Genomic DNA, 17,469 nt, shown 5'->3' with positions numbered 1-17,469 from the left:
TTCCCCAATATAATAAGTTGTTTCCTCTGAAATGTTTTATTAGCTAAATTAATGCTGCAGTAATAAAGTCTATAATCTTCCCTTCATTTTACTTTTTTTTGCGTTTTTATATGGAAGATTTAGTGACTTATTAACCAGACTTAATATGCTATGGAGATAATGTACAGATATGTATATATTCTTTTTCTTTTTAAAACAGATGAGCTTTGATCCAAACCTTCTCCACAACAATGGACATAATGGGTACCCTAATGGTACTTCAGCAGCACTGCGTGAAACTGGGGTTATTGAAAAACTGTTAACCTCTTACGGATTTATTCAGTGTTCAGAACGTCAAGCTAGACTTTTCTTCCACTGTTCACAGTATAATGGCAACCTGCAAGACTTAAAAGTAGGAGGTAATCTGTCAGTTCTCCTTTGTAAAAATGTAATCACAAAATTTGTCTTGCATATCAATTTGTTCATGAGTGTTTTTCAAAAAGTTTTATGTAAATTAAAACATTTTGGACTTTTAGTTGTACTGTTTAGTGAAGAATATCTGTATAAACCAGCAGAATCCTTGAAAGATTATATTTGCATATATTTACAATAAATGCTTGGAAGATTTCATTGTTTTTCCCCATAATGATGACTGTTTACCCGTAAGATTTTAAGCCAGTACGAATATTGAACTTTTGTAATGTTACTTATGATTATTCTGTCAGGTACTATTTTGGGTAGTACCTGAAAAAAGTAATCCTTAGAGTGTCACCTCTTAGAAGCTGGGCGCGGTGGCTTACGCCTGTAATCCCAGCACTTTGGGAGGCCGAGGCGGGCAGATCACGAGGTCAGGAGATAGAGACCATCCTGGCTAACACGGTGAAACCCCGTCTCTACTAAAAATACAAAAAATTAGCTGGGCGTGGTGGCAGGCACCTGTAGTCCCAGCTACTCGGGAGGCTGAAGCAGGAGAATGGTGTGAACCTGGGAGGCGGAGCTTGCAGTAAGCCAAGATGCCACCACTGCACTCCAGCCTGGGCGACAGAGCGAGACCCCGTCTCAAAAAAAAAAAAAGTCACCTCTTAGATTATATGGAAATTCATTGTGGCTGACACCATACAAATTATTTCACAGGCCTGGCATGGTGGCTCATGCCTGTATTCCCAGCATTTTGGGAGGCCAGGGCAAGTGGATTGCTTGAGCTCAGGAATTCAAGACCAGCTTGCAGCCTGGGCAACATGGCAAAACCCCATCTCTACAAAAAATGCAAAAATTAGCTGAGGAACGTGACATGTGCCTGTAGTCCCAGCTACTAAGTAGACTGAGGTGGGAGGATCGCTTGAGCCCGCAAGGTAGAGGTTGCAGTGAGCTGAGATCGTGCCGCTGCACTCCAGCTTGGGTGACAGGGAGACTCTGTCTCAAAAAAAAAAAAAAAAAAAAAAAAAAAAAGTTTTTACATGTGAAGTGTTTGGCTTACTAAAGGACTGAAATTATGAGGCCTCTGTGCATTTTTAAAAAACGTTTGAGAAAAGAGTCAGTATAATAGCTAACAAGATGCATGCTATAGGAACATTGTTTTGGTTAATCCTCATGGCAGTCCTGTTAGGAATTATTCTCCTTTTACATAAGAGAAAACTGAGGTACAGAGGAGTTTAAAAAAAAAACTCGCCAAAGGTTATGATTGTTAAGTCATCTCATTTGTAGTATGTGTAAATGCCATAAAAACTAAGATTAAGACATGGCTATCTTAGCATAAGATGGTGGTTCTGAAACATTTGTGTGTATCAGAATTAGTGGAAGGCTTGTTAAAACACAGATTGCTATACTTGATCCCCAGAGTTTGTCTTTGGCTAGGACTAGAGTTAGGCCCAGTATTTCTTTTAAGCTCCCAGGTGATGTTAATGCTGCTGGTCCAGGGACCACACTTTGAAAACCACTGGTCTAAGGCAATTCAAATGCTATGTTAAGTATAGCTTGGAAGCAATATATCGTTTCGCAAAAATCAGTTCAACAAACATAACACATTATTTATTTTTAGATGATGTTGAATTTGAAGTATCATCGGACCGACGGACTGGGAAACCCATTGCTGTTAAACTGGTGAAGATAAAACAAGAAATCCTCCCTGAAGAACGAATGAATGGACAAGTTAGTGACTTTGATGCTTTGTGTTTTTTTAGGGCCCTGCATTTGCATATCTTTCACATTAGAAAAGGAAGATTCTCCCCATCTCCTCAGTTTGCACGAAAGAGAGCTATAGTATATAAAGATTACTATTTTAAAATTAATCAAAAGCACTGGCATTTCTTGACCTGAAATAAAAATATGGTCAAGACTCAATTGGGTTTTTACATATAACCCTGAGTCAATGCTTACAGTCAATTTACATACTGTAAGTTTGAAACTTGGCAGCATGACATCCTCTTGTGGATCATATTAAAATGCATCCCTGTATATAGTATAGAGGATATTAAAATTCAGTTTATATTGCACAGTGCTGCTCCTGAAATGATTAGCAATGGAAATTTTTTTTTTTTTGACTGGTAGGTTGTGTGCGCTGTTCCTCACAACTTAGAGAGTAAATCTCCAGCTGCCCCGGGTCAGAGTCCAACAGGGAGTGTATGCTACGAACGTAATGGGGTAAACTTGTGTATTTTTCTTAAACCTTTGCCTGATCCACCATGTGATCTATAAGCGTACTTTAAAATTCAAAATAGAAAACGTAAGCTGCAATTGTTAAAATCAGTTTTAAATTTGGTTTCTAAGAGGCTTCAAATGCAGCATAATCAAAAAATTTAAAAAGAAAAATTCCATAGGACTTCCAAGTGTCTTAGTTTGCCCAAGTATGACCTTAGTTAGAACATTAAGGTAAAATGTTCCTTTTAATCACTTTTTTGGGGGTTGTGGGGGGGATCTTTTTCTGGTTTCTTTTAAGCACTAACACCAGCTTTTTTTGTTTGGAATGCCTTATATAAAATTGTTTTTTTGAAATGTAACTATAGTCTCTGGGCAAATGCTTCCACGTGTGTAAGCTTTTTGAAGTTGGATTGCTGCTCAGCTGTGGACTCGCAGAAGTCATCAGCACCATGGAGGGGAAGTGTGTGTTTATATGAATAAAGTGACTTGTCATAAAGCATTTAATTTTAAGAAATTTGGCTTAAAATGCCAGTATAAGAGGTTTTTAAGTAAGTAAATCACAGTATACAGTGAATATGCATCCTGCCAAAATAGTAATAATGATTTATTAATTCACAGGAAGTGTTTTATCTGACTTACACCCCTGAAGATGTCGAAGGGAACGTTCAGCTGGAAACTGGAGATAAAATAAACTTTGTAATTGATAACAATAAACAGTAAGTTCTTTTTTTTTAAATTTTCTCACCTAAGCGGTTTTTTTTTCCCCCCTCCATTAAGAAATTTGAATAGAGTTAAAAACCTAACTTGTAAGTCTGGATAGTTTTCATGAACTTTCAATTCATCAACTAATGCTTTGAGGTCTATGAATATTGTATTACAGCCATGATGCAGGGTCTCAGAGGAAGATGATAATTAAAACATTGTTAGGCATTTTAAGGACTTGTTCTAGAGATCAGTGAAGGTTTTTCAAAAAATAGTGCTTTGAGGTAAGTTTTGAGGGAGGGGTATAGTCACTATAGAGAGGTGAGAAAAAAGCATTATGATTAGAAGTATCATGACATGTTGGGGGAAAATGGCCAAAAGTTTGGTCGAACTGACCAGAAGGTAAAGTTTGAGCATTCTTCTATGTAGGAATCTGCGTTGTTTAAAACAAGGAAGTGTGATTGGTTTAGATCTTTGGAGGTGGTGGAAGTGGTAGACTTTTGAAAGGTGGGGATGCTGTTGACCAGAGGCAGTGATGTGAGAGTTAACGTGAAAGATGACCGCCTGATATGGATAGACTAAGAGGATGGGGTGGAGGAGTCAAGTCATATTGAGAAGATAGAATCATCAATCTTAATTGATTTGATAAAGGTGGGGTTGGAATTAAAGGGAGTCCCAAATACTGTTTTTCTGGCCTGGCCTACTGGGCAGATGATGGTACCATAAACTGGGCTAAGGAGACATAAGGAGAATGTTCAAGGTGGGAAAAGAATCATACTTATCTTGGCAATTTTTGAGTGTGAGATGTTTGTGATATATCTGGGTAGAGATATCAAATCTACAGTTGCGTGTATAGGTCTGAGACTTAGACCTATTAAGTCTAAGGTCTATTTCCTGCCTATAGGGGAAGTATATAGAGCTGTAGAATTCATCAGCATACACAGTTAAGGAAAATGTAGTTAAGAAAGCCCAGGGAGAATATTATTTTTATCTTGGCATAGGAGAGATGAGAGATGCAAGAGGAGAAGGAAATTAAAATAGAAAGTTGGAGAAAGTGCTAGTAATGTACCTTCCAGTAGCATGTGGAGGGAAAAGTCCTAAGAGCATGTCTGGGATTATCTGCCTTGAACCTTATCTCTTTCTTGGCAAGCCTTGAAGGAATCAGATTGTGTTGTAGGTGTGGTTATTATTAGTTACAGTCTGAAGGCCTCAATTTATATAGTTGTTAATCTCAGAACAGCCTTACCTGGTAAGTTTCTTCATCTGTAAAATGACGTATAAGTTCTCACAAAGTTACTTGTCGATGTTCATACTGCTTTTAAATAGCAGGCATTTAAATTCCCATCTGACTCTAAAGCGTTTTCACTGCAGTAAGTTACAAAAACAGGTAGAATTTTTCTGGTGTCTTTGTTAGTCTGTAACATTTTTTTAAATAAAAAGCACATTTTGGGTTATTTGTCTGTGAAAAATTAAGGGAAGTAATTGCTTGGTGTATAGGTCTTTTCTTAAAACATTTAGACTAACAGTACCATTATGTCTTATACAGTCTATGTTATCTTAAAAACAAAATTGAATTTACATCGCTGCTACACAAATATGAAGGCATAAAAGCAACATGTGGTGTCTCTAACTTGTTTCCATTCTCCAATGGAGGTGGATATCATTACTTTTAAAAGCATAGCAAGTTCTCTTAAAGTCACTTCATTTACTCAACTTTTATGGCTGTTTACTCAGAAATAATTAATGAGATAGCTACTAAATTTAGCACTCACTGAAAATAGAGACCATCTCCTATTTATCTCTGTATCACCAGTACCTTACTTTGCCGCAGATTATACCTACACAAATGTTTGTTTAATGAATAACCTTTATAAGACTTTAGTATTCCCCACCTTTGGTAGCATTCGCTTTGTGGCTTTATTTCAGTTATTTTGTTGAAATAGAAAAACAGAGTAGAACATCACGCACCCATGTGTAAGTTTGTAAAAAAGCAAATCTTCCAACAACAGTCCCAGAGAAAGATGACCTATATATATATTTGCCAAACGTAGAAGGCTAAGGAGTTAAAGTCCTTTGCATATAAAGCCATATGAAAATAATCAAATGTCATAAACCCTGTATTTATTCTTAGTGATGATAGAATTCTTAAAGCCCCAGGAAACTAGTTTCTTTAGACTCATATCTAAGCAGGCCAATACATTTTTAATCCCTGTTTCATTCCTCCTCCCTGCAATTATTTTTTTTCTAGTACTGGTGCTGTAAGTGCTCGCAACATTATGCTGTTGAAAAAGAAACAAGCCCGCTGTCAGGGAGTAGTTTGTGCCATGAAGGTAAGTGTTAAATTTGAGAAACTTGAGTTTTCTTTGGCCACTTGAAATGTTGTACTTCAAACTCCAGCCTTTGTTTTTTTTTTTCTTTTTTATCTTACCCTTTTAAAATATTTCACTGTTAACCTCAAAAGTAGTCTCTTAAAATTCCTTGGTTGCTAATACATTATCTTCTTTAAAATTGGCTGTTTAATTGATAATATTAGGTTGTACCAAATTATATTATTGTGACTACAGTATAATTTTACAAAAATTACTGGTTTTAAGTTGTAATCATAAATTTGTACAGAGTGGTAATAATGTTCTTGGTTTTTTATTTTGCTTCAGGAGGCATTTGGCTTTATTGAAAGAGGTGATGTTGTAAAAGAGATATTCTTTCACTATAGTGAATTTAAGGGTGACTTAGAAACCTTACAGCCTGGCGATGATGTGGAATTCACAATCAAGGACAGAAATGTAAGACAGTCAGTTAACTTGATCTTTGGCCTTTTAAGATCAGAGTTGGTTTATGTTTTTAAGAAACACTTAAAATTATGTGATTCTTCCTTCCTCTGTCCCCCCACCACCTCCAACCCCTTCTGATTTAGGGTAAAGAAGTTGCAACAGATGTCAGACTATTGCCTCAAGGAACAGTCATTTTTGAAGATATCAGCATTGAACATTTTGAAGGAACTGTAACCAAAGTTATCCCAAAAGTACCCAGTAAAAACCAGGTAAATAATCTTTTTCAGGAGAGTCCTATTTCGCCTCAGTAGTAATAGAATAATATGGTGTGGTATACTGAGATTTTATCTTATTCAGTTAATATAATGTGGTAGTGGAACAACTAAGGACCTCTTGTTACGTATATTTAAACTAAAAGAGAAACCAGATTTATATATTCATAAATATGGTGTTTTTTTTTTTTTTTTTCTTTTTTTGTGACAGAGTCTCGCTCTGTCGCCAGGCTGGAGTGCAGTGGCGCGATCTCGGCTCACTGCAACCTCCGCCTCCCGGGTTTAAGCGATTCTCCTGCCTCAGCCTCCCAAGTAGCTGGGACTACAAGGGCATGCCACCACACCCAGCTAATTTTTGTATTCTTAGTAAAGACGGGGTTTCACCCTGTTGGCAAGGATGGTCTCGATCTCTTGACCTTGCGATCTGTCCACCTTGGCCTCCCAAAGTGCTGGGATTACAAGTATGAGCCACCTCGCCCAGCCAAATATGTATTTTTTTTTACTGGGTGATGAAAAAAGGCCAAAGAAGAAAATGCTAATTAAATTGGAAAGCACCTGATTGGATTAGACTGCAGTTCAGGTGTACATTTGTTCCCTCCTCTGCCCCTGCCCTACCCCTCCAGTTTGTGGGGAAGGTGAGGACACAAGTGGTGTCATTCCTGGAAAAATTCCTTAAATAAAATCTTTTGGTACCAGAGTGCTGGGTCTTAATTGCATTGTTGTAATTTTATGGTTGACTCGTGTGACCATAGACCATGAAGCTTTCACATTGGACTTATGTTGTCAACACCTTTTTTCGCTTCAGGGAACTAAGTTAAAAATAACATGGGTTTACTATGTGTTCTTCTTGTTTGACTTAGAACTAGGAAGGATGAGAAATCTCCAGCTAAAATCGTTTTTCCTTCTCATCAGAATGACCCATTGCCAGGACGCATCAAAGTTGACTTTGTGATCCCTAAAGAACTTCCCTTTGGAGACAAAGATACGAAATCCAAGGTGACCCTGCTGGAAGGTGACCATGTTAGGTTTAATATTTCAACAGACCGACGTGACAAATTAGAGCGAGCAACCAATATAGAAGTTCTGTCAAATACATTTCAGTTCACTAATGAAGCCCGAGAAATGGTAAGTGTTGGATATTACTGGATATGTATCTAATATGCGAAAGCCAATGTTATATTCAAGTTTATACTACTAAATTAAAATTTTTCTTAAGTTAAATGACCCTAATGGGCATTTACCTTGTTAAGGTGATTAAGAATCATACACATTTGAGTCAGTCTGGGTTATCTCTGGCAGTTATCTTGGAAATATATGTGAAAAAATTTTTTGAATGGAAATCTGGACAGGATTACTAAGATATTTTTAGAGTCAGTGATTCTCAGGCCCTTAATATGAAGAGTAAGAAAATTCAAGTTCATCATTGTAGAAAGTAGATTTTCCCAAACTATTTCCTAAGACATTTAATTAGTGGTTTCTGTTTTTAGGAAACACAATTCTTCCTCCAGTGTGGTCCAGGGAAGCCAAAAGATTGAACACCCATGATCTAGACACTAGATCACACATAAAATACACTAACAGCAATGATAGCTGATGAGCTTTTTTAAAAAAAAAATCATAGGCACGGTGGCTCACACCTGTAATCCCAGCACTTTGGGAGGCTGAGGCGGGTGATCACTTGAGGTCAGGAGTTCAAGACCAGCCTGGCCAACATGGTAAAACCCCGTCTCTACTAAAAATAGAAAAATTAGCCAGGTGTGACGGTGGGCACCTGTAATCCTAACTACTCAGGAGGCTGAGACAGGAGAATCGCTTGAACCTAGGAGGCAGAGGTTGCAGTAAGCCAATACCATGCCGTTGCCCTGCAACCTGGGTGACAGAGGAAGACTGTCTCAAAAAAATAATTGCAAAAACATCTCATCATGTTTTAAGAAGGTTTAACAATTTGTTGTGTTGGGCCACATTCAGAGCTGTCCTAGGCCATGGTTTGGACAAGCTTGCAATTAAACCAGAGTCAAAAAGGTTTTGTTTTGGCAGAACTTCACAAATTGTTTTTTAAGAGTTTGTGTCTGGGAGTGGCATAAACCAACCAGATTTTTTCCCAAACATGTTTTATGAACTCATTTTCTCAGACATAATTTGCATTTAGTTACGTTTGGGATCATATCATCTACACTATAACTCAGTGTTGCCAGTGGAACTGGGTACATTGAATGAAAATTTAAGTTTCTTGAGTTTTTTTTAATCCTTTGCCTTTGAAGAACTGGTTGTATTTGACACAGTGTATTTAACTTTAAAAGTTTGTAAGTCTGAATGTGTGATTTTTTTTTTTTTTTTTACATTTTCAAAGGCAAGATCTGTTTTGCTTTACGGTATGGAAAATATAACTTGGCTACTGTCAGGACTTGGCAAGGATTAAATGTCAAAATATTGTTTAGGTCATATTTAAAACTTACAGAATCACTTCTGCAGTGAGCAGATATGTAGTATGTAATACAATAGCAGATTGATAATTTGTGTTCATTGTTTCATTAAACATGAGTATCTACCATGTTCCAGGTACTCTTGATACAGTAAGCCTTACAAAGCTGATAATTTAGTAAGAAGGAAAAAAAAAAAAGAGAAAAGATTGCATATATTTTATTCTTCAGATGTAAATTTTAACTCTTTCCTGGGCCTAAACTCATGCAATTTTTGAGGTAGAGACTGGAGAAGTGCCTTTGTCTACTTTGGAATTATGGTCTGTAAATTAGTGAAGTTTCTGGAGATTATATTGTCATTAGACTTGGGCTTTTATGAAATACATTGTGTTCACGTGTTTACGTTCACATGTGGTAATTTTTTCTAGTGCATATTTGCCAGGAAGTAGCAATTGGAGAGTCTTAGAAAATTGCTCAGGTTAAGTTACTTTGTTGAAAGCAATGAGTTTGTACTTAAGTGAGAACAGTTCAAATGTGGATACAGTATTTGTGTCACATCAGAGAAAATTCCTGATGAATTTAACTTGATGGTGGTTGTAAAGTTGAATGTTGCCTTCTTGACAAGTTTCACAGCCAGTGAAAATATTATTTGGGTTTCAGGGTGTGATTGCTGCCATGAGAGATGGTTTTGGTTTCATCAAGTGTGTGGATCGTGATGTTCGTATGTTCTTCCACTTCAGTGAAATTCTGGATGGGAACCAGCTCCATATTGCAGATGAAGTAGAGTTTACTGTGGTTCCTGTGAGTTGTTTCTGAGAAAAGTTGGGAGGTGTTTCTTGATGCTTTCTTTTTCAATTGAAAGTTAATTTTGTTTTATCATTTTTAGGATATGCTCTCTGCTCAAAGAAATCATGCTATTAGGATTAAAAAACTTCCCAAGGGCACGGTTTCATTTCATTCCCATTCAGATCACCGTTTTCTGGGCACGGTAGAAAAAGAAGCCACTTTTTCCAATCCTAAAACCACTAGCCCAAATAAAGGCAAAGAGAAGGTAGGTTTTGCATAATCCAAATGATTTTTGTAGCTGTTTATTTCTCTTCTGCTTTAACAGCACATAGTAATAGAGTACATATAATCAGCGGAAGTTTGTCTCTTTCAGAATTTCTGTCATATTAACAGTGAACTAAACAAAGTAAGGTTTCTTAACCTTGGGATTATTGACATTTTGGGATGAATGATTCTTTACTGTGGGGGATGGGATGTTTAGCAGCATTTCTGGCCTCTACCCACTGGAAGTTAGTATTCTGACCCCTTTTCCCTGCCTCCCATTGTGACAGCCAAAAATGTGTCCAGACATTGCCAAATGTCCCCTGGGAGGCAAACTCATTCCAAGTAGAGAACTAGTTATATAAAATGATAGTACTGTCTTCCAGGCAATTTAAAACTTTCAAAGTTGGGTGTATCCTCAGTTCACACATTTAAATTTCATTTATTGAAAAATCCACTAAATAGGAAATAGAAAGATGTCTGAGATGAATTCTCCTTTCAAGTTAATAACAAATTGAGAGTTTTATAGAAACAAGTAATTCATATAGAATATAAAATATTGCTATTGAAGGTCAGCGATAGTGCTCTGGTGAAAATTAACTGGTAGGGTATGTGATGGTTTTACTAACAGATGGAGACAGGAAAGAGCATTCTTCACAGAGTAAAAGTATAGATGAGAAAAATTCAGGGTTTCTTTAGGAAGCAATGAGTAACTAGTCCGACAGGAATTTTTTTTTTTTTTTTTTTGGTTTTGTGTGTGGGTTTTTGTTGGTGAGGGAGGTTAGGAGAAATAAGGATGAAAAATCAGGATCCAGCTAGACTGGGAGGGTGTTGATTGCTGCTCTAAAGAATTTAGACCTTATTGTCAGGTGCGGTGGCTCACACCTGTAAACCCAGCACTTTGGGAGGCTGAGGCGGGCGGATCACGAGGTCAGGAGATTGAGACCATCCTGGCTAACATGGTGAAACCCCATCTCTACTAAAAATACAAAAAAATTAGCCGGGCATAGTAGTGGGCACCTGTAATCCCAGCTACTCGGGAGGCTGAGGCAGGAGAATGGCGTGAACCCAGGAGGCAGAGCTTTTAGTGAGCTGAGATGGCGCCATTGCACTCCATCCTGGGCGACTGAGTGAGACTCCGTCTCCAAAAAAAAAATTTAGACCTTGTTCTGTACTTCAAGGAAAAGATTTCTTTTGGATAATGACATCAGGTATGTGCTTTGGGAGAGTAATGGCAGCAATATGAAGCCTAGATGGGATGGAGAAAGACAAAAGATGAAAAGGATTACTATGAAATTACTTGGATAGTTAAGGTAGTCCTTGAACTAGGCACACAGATAGTGACTATAGACAAGTGAAGGTACATGAGAGATACTGGAAAGTCATGTTATAATTTAATAATTGCTATTAGCCAGAAAGAGCAAGGCTAGTATCTTGCTTATCACTTACTGTAGCTTGGGAAATTATTTCACCTCTGAGCTTCAGTTTTTAAATTTCAAAAATGATTGTGTAATAGTTTAAAAAGCCCTCGAAGTACCTAGCTCATAATAGGAATTTCGCATGTGACAGATGATACTGTTAACAAAAATAAAAATACACTTCAGTTGGGCTTATTTTTAATAACTTTTAATTCTTGGAATGCTCTGCTTCCCAAATGTGTCTGGCAAAACTGGCTTGATGAAGAGAGCCTTTGTGTGAGACTTTCCCTGCCATTTTTTGTTTTTTTTTCTTTCTTAGTCCAACAGTACCCTAGTAAATCCTCTGTCATCATGCTTCTTACAGTATATAACATTTACCTGTTAATGAATCTGTCTCTGCTGCACTGGACTCCCTCAGGGCAGGGATTCTCCTATCTCTATTTAATATATTTGATGTATAGTATATTGTCAGCTGTTGATGTTGAAGTTGGTGAGTTAAGAGCAAAAGGTGAACAGTAAGCTTTTGAGTTTGGTTGTGGAAAAGTTGATGACATTGGAGTCAGACCTGAGTTCACTGACATTGTTCTTAACCAAACTCAAATCCTCTGGATTATTTTGCGCTGGGTTTTGTAACCTTGGTAAGGTTTACTTAATTCCTCAGATTTCCCCAATTTGTAAAATGAGGGAAAAGAGAAACTATGGAGATGATTTTGTACAAGATTAATTTGATAATACATAATACCTGGTAATGTTGTAAGTGTTCAATAAATTATTATATAGCAGTTATGGAAGGAATGTGATTGGTAGAAGAGGAAAATGAATTGGTTTTGAATATATCGTAGTTTGTAATGAGGACTGGAGTTTAGGAAGGAAGTCAGGGCTAGAGTAGGGACATGGGCATTATCTTCATAGAAATGTTGAAACCATAAAATCAGTATAATTTATGTAGTTGCTGTACACTGTCATTACTTAACGGTGTGATTCAATACGACACACCTGAACTTTCTTAGACTTTTATTTTTTTAGTCAAGTGCAGTAGTGAGAAGGGGGGAAAGAGGAGAACAAGGAAGTTCGATCTGTAACTGACTGAACAATCGAGATAACCCACTACCTTCAGACCAGCCCTTAGATTTTTTAAGAGTTAATCATTCTTACACGTACGATGACTGAAATGTTGTTTCTCCTTGAAGTCTGGTATTAAAAAAAATTGTTGAAATACTAGTATGTCATAATTTTTAATCATCTACTTTATGTCAAGTACTTGAACTGTGCTAGATCATACACCAAATTATCCTGCATTGTTAAGTATATTGATTGACATTATATATTAAATACTGTGCAAGGTGCTGTGTGCTACTAAAAGAGGATACTTCAGCAGCTTCTTTAGGAAATACTAAAGCTTCTTGCCCTTATAGAATTTCCACTTCCTTGGAAGTAACATGCCCAGTTTAATTTCTGATTGGCTATGAGGAGCGCAGGTGTATTAAACATTTTCAGTAAGCTTTTTTCTCCTCAATAGCAAAAATTAGATTCTTAAGATTGAAAGACCAATTAAAAATTACAGCAGACTGAGCTAGGCTTAAGGCAAGACTACCTTTTATTCATATGAATAATCTTTTAGAAAATGCTGGAATAAGACATTTTTACAGCTGTACCAATCCTTTGGCACAAGAATATGTAAGAACTATAGTTGTTTTTATTGGTTTTTGTTCTTGAGATTGTTTTCATTCTGTTTTTGACTGTATCTCTTTAGGAGGCTGAGGATGGCATTATTGCTTATGATGACTGTGGGGTGAAACTGACTATTGCTTTTCAAGCCAAGGATGTGGAAGGATCTACTTCTCCTCAAATAGGAGATAAGGCAAGATAATTCTGCTCATTCGAGAGAGGGTTAAGAGTTGTCATCTTAATCATAAATCCTGCAGGATGGGTTCTTCAAATTTTATCAAGTTTTGCTGAAATATATTTTGTGTTTAAGAGAAATACATGAATATCTTGTATTTGAAAGCAGCTTATTAAAAGTGTCTGTCAAGCTCTTTGTTAATCAAAGCCTTGTTAATCTAGCTGTTTAAACGTTAGATAAAACATGCTTAATAAAATCGTTATTGGTAAGAAAGTTAAAACAGTTACTACTGAAACATTATCAAAGTAAAAGCACACCAAAGATTTTACGTTGTTGTTCATTTTTTCTCATACTTAATATGTTTGGTTTTTGGATAGCCCTCTAGAGAAATTCAGAATCTATAAGGAATACAGACTGAAAGATAAAAGTTTGATCCTTTGTGAAAAGTGGGATGAGACATAAATGTTTTGGTGAAAATCAATTTCATTGAAGTAATAACAAAGGATATTTGGAATGAAAAGCATGCGCTGGGGGAGTTATAGGTCTTGTTTTCTGAGTTAAGGAGATTGGTGTGGAAGTGATATGGTGTTAATGAGCATCCTTAATTTTCACAGGTTGAATTTAGTATTAGTGACAAACAGAGGCCTGGACAGCAGGTTGCAACTTGTGTGCGACTTTTAGGTCGTAATTCTAACTCCAAGAGGCTCTTGGGTTATGTGGCAACTCTGAAGGATAATTTTGGATTTATTGAAACAGCCAATCATGATAAGGAAATCTTTTTCCATTACAGGTAAGGCGTGACTTTCAGGAACTTTACAGCTAACTTACCATCCATTCTTTGGTGTTGGAATAAAAAACATTTAGTATTGATTGATTATACTTGTTGAGGTTCAGATTTCATATTGGTAGAATTATGGCAAGATATAAACTGAAGTTAATCACTGATCTTACTATATACAGAGCCTGTGGCCAAAAGAAATAGAAAGGCCTGTGCCACCTTATTTTTTGTGTTGGTACCATAGAGTTGGCCATTTGGTGTATAATGTAGTGTAAGAGTAAGGGGTCTGACTGGGTGTGGTGGCTCATGCCTATAATCCCAGCACTTTGGGGGCTGAGGCAGGTGGATCCCTTGAGCCCAGGAGTTCGAGGCCAGCCTGAGCAACACGGTGAAACTCCATCTCCACAAAAATTACCAAAATTAGCCTGACATGGTGGTGCATACCTGTAGTCTCACCAACTCAGGAGGCTGATGTGGGAGGACCACTTGATCCTGGGAGGCAGAGGTTGCAGTAAGCTGAGATCGCACCACTGTACTCCAGCCTAGCCAACAGAGTGAGACTCTGTCTCAAAAAAAAAAATAGAAAGTAAGGGTTCTTAGAACCAGACAGTTCAGTTTTTGAATCCAGGCCCTGCCACTTTATACCTGTGTAATTTTTACCAAATAACTTCTTGGTATCTTAGTTTCATTATCCTGAAGTTAGGGATAATGTTACCTCTTCATGGGGCATTCTTGAGGATTAAATGAGTCAATACATAGAAATTACTTAAAATGGTGTCTAATGTAAATAAGCATGCCATGCCATGACTGTTACTGTAAAATAAAGACTGCCTGTTACTGTTGATGTTTATGGTAATGTTTAGTTAAATGTCATTTCCTTTCTCCTTAGTGAGTTCTCTGGTGATGTTGATAGCCTGGAACTGGGGGACATGGTCGAGTATAGCTTGTCCAAAGGCAAAGGCAACAAAGTCAGTGCAGAAAAAGTGAACAAAACACACTCAGGTAATAAATTGTGACTTCTTATTCAGCCTGTGCTTTTAAGTGGGAGATAAAGGATGGAGTAGTAGAGGGAGATGAGGCCTAATTATTCTACATCAGTCATTCTCATGTGCGATTCCATAGAACAGCAGCATCACCTGGTTGCTTGTTAGAAATATACGTTCTCTGACCCTATCCCATACCCACTGAAACTCTGTGAGTGGGCATTCTTTTTTAATAAATCCTTTAGGTGATTCTGGTATACACTGAAGTTTGAGAAGGATTGGCCTAGATATTTTAGGAAATTTGCTTTATATTTTCAATTCATTGTCTTCTTTTGAAAAATAAACCCAGGATAGCCAGCTGTGGTAGTGGATGCCTGTAGTCACAGTTACTTGGGAGGCTGAGGTGGGAGGGCCGCTTGTGCTGGTAGGTTGAGACTGCAGTGAGCCATGATGATCCTACCACTGCACTCCAACCTGGGTGACAGAGCAAGACTGTCTGAAAAAAACAAAAATAACCCCAAGATATGTATACATCACCATGGAGTAGGGAAGAGAGGCATTTCCCTAGAAGATTGTTTTGAAGAAGAATGAATCTAAATGTGAAAAATAATGGGAAGTTAAAAAAATTAATTGTAATTTAGGATCTTGGATCTCTGACTTTAAAAGACCTGCAACTTATTTTTGGCTCTCATCTGAACTCTTAAGTGTGTGTTATGTTTTAGACACTGGGGATACAGCAGTGAAGAAATCAGATACATCCCTGTATTCATTGACCTTATTTTTTGGTGGAAAATATGGGGCAGACTAGAGGAGTAAAATACTGTATATGATGTTTAGAAAGACAACAATACATGTAATAAAGATGAATCAGGACAGTATGTAAGTATTGTGATTTACATTTTAGAGACCAGGAAAGGCTTCTTAAAAAATGACATATGGTCACCTGGAAAAAGTAAGAGATCAAGGCATGTTTTATTTATGAATACTTATTAATTCCTTAAACAATTTTATTTAAACAATTCTATTTAGGAAAAGCAGGCATTTTGGTAGTTTAGAAGTATTTAAAGTCCAGCAGCTGTTCTAAAAATAGAACTTGGCTTCAGGTTCCCTACCCCATTTCAATAGCAGCCAGCCAACCTACCCTGTTAACATTTGTGCTGTTATTTTTTGCTTACTTGTCTTTCTATGTAGTAGAGATGAAATAAAATTGAAAGATGTACCTGCCTTTGTTTTGTAGTGAATGGCATTACTGAGGAAGCTGATCCCACCATTTACTCTGGCAAAGTAATTCGCCCCCTGAGGAGTGTTGATCCAACACAGACTGAGTACCAAGGAATGATTGAGATTGTGGAGGAGGGTAAGGATCATCACTATCAGGCTGTTTGAAATTTGCCATAACTTCAGATGAGCACCTATAAAGTTTTAAAATATGGTGCTTATTGCAGTTGTTTTTAGGTTTAAAACTGAATTAAGGAAAAGTGACCTCTCTCATGCTTGCTTTTTATTTTTATACCCCTTGAAAATGAGGTCAGTCTGGGTTTAAATAGTGAAAACGTGACTGCTTTGTGAGCACATGACTGATACATGAGCAACTATGAGTTATATTGAGATAGACTTAACAACAAACTCTGATAACCAAAGCTTTTACTGTTGAGTGTATGATAATCAAATATTCAGTTCCTTCATTAGTATTTAAATCAGTAAGCATTCAGTTCTGTATTTTTGCTTCCTGTAAAAGTTTACTGTTTTTTTCCCCCCTACACTACACATATGTACATAATCTGTTTCTTAATAGCTAGAGTTCTATGAGGATCCTATTTCTCGTTTCTAGCTCAGGCTTCCTTTCATTCTCTACTTTCTTCTTCTTTTTTCCCCATCTATCTTCAAGAATTCCCAGAGTTCCAGTGCCGCTGTTCCCCCAACAGTCACCATCAGAAAGGCCAACTTTGTATGATCTGTATGCATAAAATAAATACATGATAGAAATAGGAGAGAACTCTGTAGATGATTAGGATAGCAGAATTACATGATGTGGAGTAGATGAGAGGGCTTGAGTATTCCAACCAAAGATGATGGCTTGGTAGGCCGGGCGTGGTGGTTCACGCCTGTAATCCCAGCACTTTGGGAGGCTGAGGCGGGCGGATCACGAGGCCAGGAGTTCGTGACCAGCCTGGCCAGCATGGTGAAACCCCGTCTCTACTATTAAAAAAACTAATAATAAAAAAATTTTAAAAAGAAAAGATGATGGCTTGGTTTACAAAGAGAATAAAGTCCTTGCATCATCTAAGAGTCAGCGAACATAAAGTGCTGAATAGCAGGTCATTTGGGAGAAGGAAATGAACCTTGATAACCTATTCCTTTACCACATGGGATTCTTAGAATTTCTGTTCTACATAAAACCACTGTTCTCCCACCTCTAAATATGAATTTTTAAACAAATGCCATGACATCACACCCCTAAAAAGGCCATGGGAGTATGGACTACTAACTTTAACTCATAATATGATATCAAATTGCCCTTCCATCTCCTAACGTGCTGCTTTTACTTCCTTTTCCATCCCCACTTCCCAGTCCACTCATTCTTCAGCACTGGCTGTGGGATATAGTCCAAAGCAAGGG

General features: G+C 37.3%; 1 protein-coding gene and 1 pseudogene across 6 annotated transcripts in view; one reads left to right on the top strand and one right to left on the bottom strand.

The window, feature by feature from the left end:
- The window catches only part of CSDE1 (cold shock domain containing E1), a 41,069-nt gene that overhangs the window by 17,895 nt on the left and 5,705 nt on the right, over nt 1–17,469 (top strand). For 3 of the 6 annotated variants that reach the window (NM_001242892.2, NM_001007553.3, NM_001242891.2), the window contains 14 exons: nt 200–398; nt 2,018–2,127; nt 2,527–2,619; nt 3,235–3,332; nt 5,567–5,648; nt 5,973–6,101; nt 6,233–6,358; nt 7,274–7,486; nt 9,442–9,582; nt 9,668–9,832; nt 13,000–13,107; nt 13,704–13,879; nt 14,757–14,869; nt 16,088–16,207. In NM_001242892.2, the coding sequence (NP_001229821.1) occupies nt 200–398; nt 2,018–2,127; nt 2,527–2,619; nt 3,235–3,332; nt 5,567–5,648; nt 5,973–6,101; nt 6,233–6,358; nt 7,274–7,486; nt 9,442–9,582; nt 9,668–9,832; nt 13,000–13,107; nt 13,704–13,879; nt 14,757–14,869; nt 16,088–16,207 (1,873 nt within the window). The remainder of the gene's footprint in view (nt 1–199; nt 399–2,017; nt 2,128–2,526; nt 2,620–3,234; nt 3,333–5,566; nt 5,649–5,972; nt 6,102–6,232; nt 6,359–7,273; nt 7,487–9,441; nt 9,583–9,667; nt 9,833–12,999; nt 13,108–13,703; nt 13,880–14,756; nt 14,870–16,087; nt 16,208–17,469) is intronic. The other 3 variants (NM_001242893.2, NM_007158.6, NM_001130523.3) reach the window with 1 other exon arrangement.
- On the bottom strand, nt 12,270–12,370 carry RNY1P13 (RNY1 pseudogene 13; annotated as a pseudogene).

The sequence above is a fragment of the Homo sapiens genome, chromosome 1 (genome assembly GCF_000001405.40).
Source record: "Homo sapiens chromosome 1, GRCh38.p14 Primary Assembly".
Lineage (NCBI taxonomy): Eukaryota > Metazoa > Chordata > Mammalia > Primates > Hominidae > Homo > Homo sapiens.
This window is presented reverse-complemented; position numbering and strand designations above follow the sequence as displayed.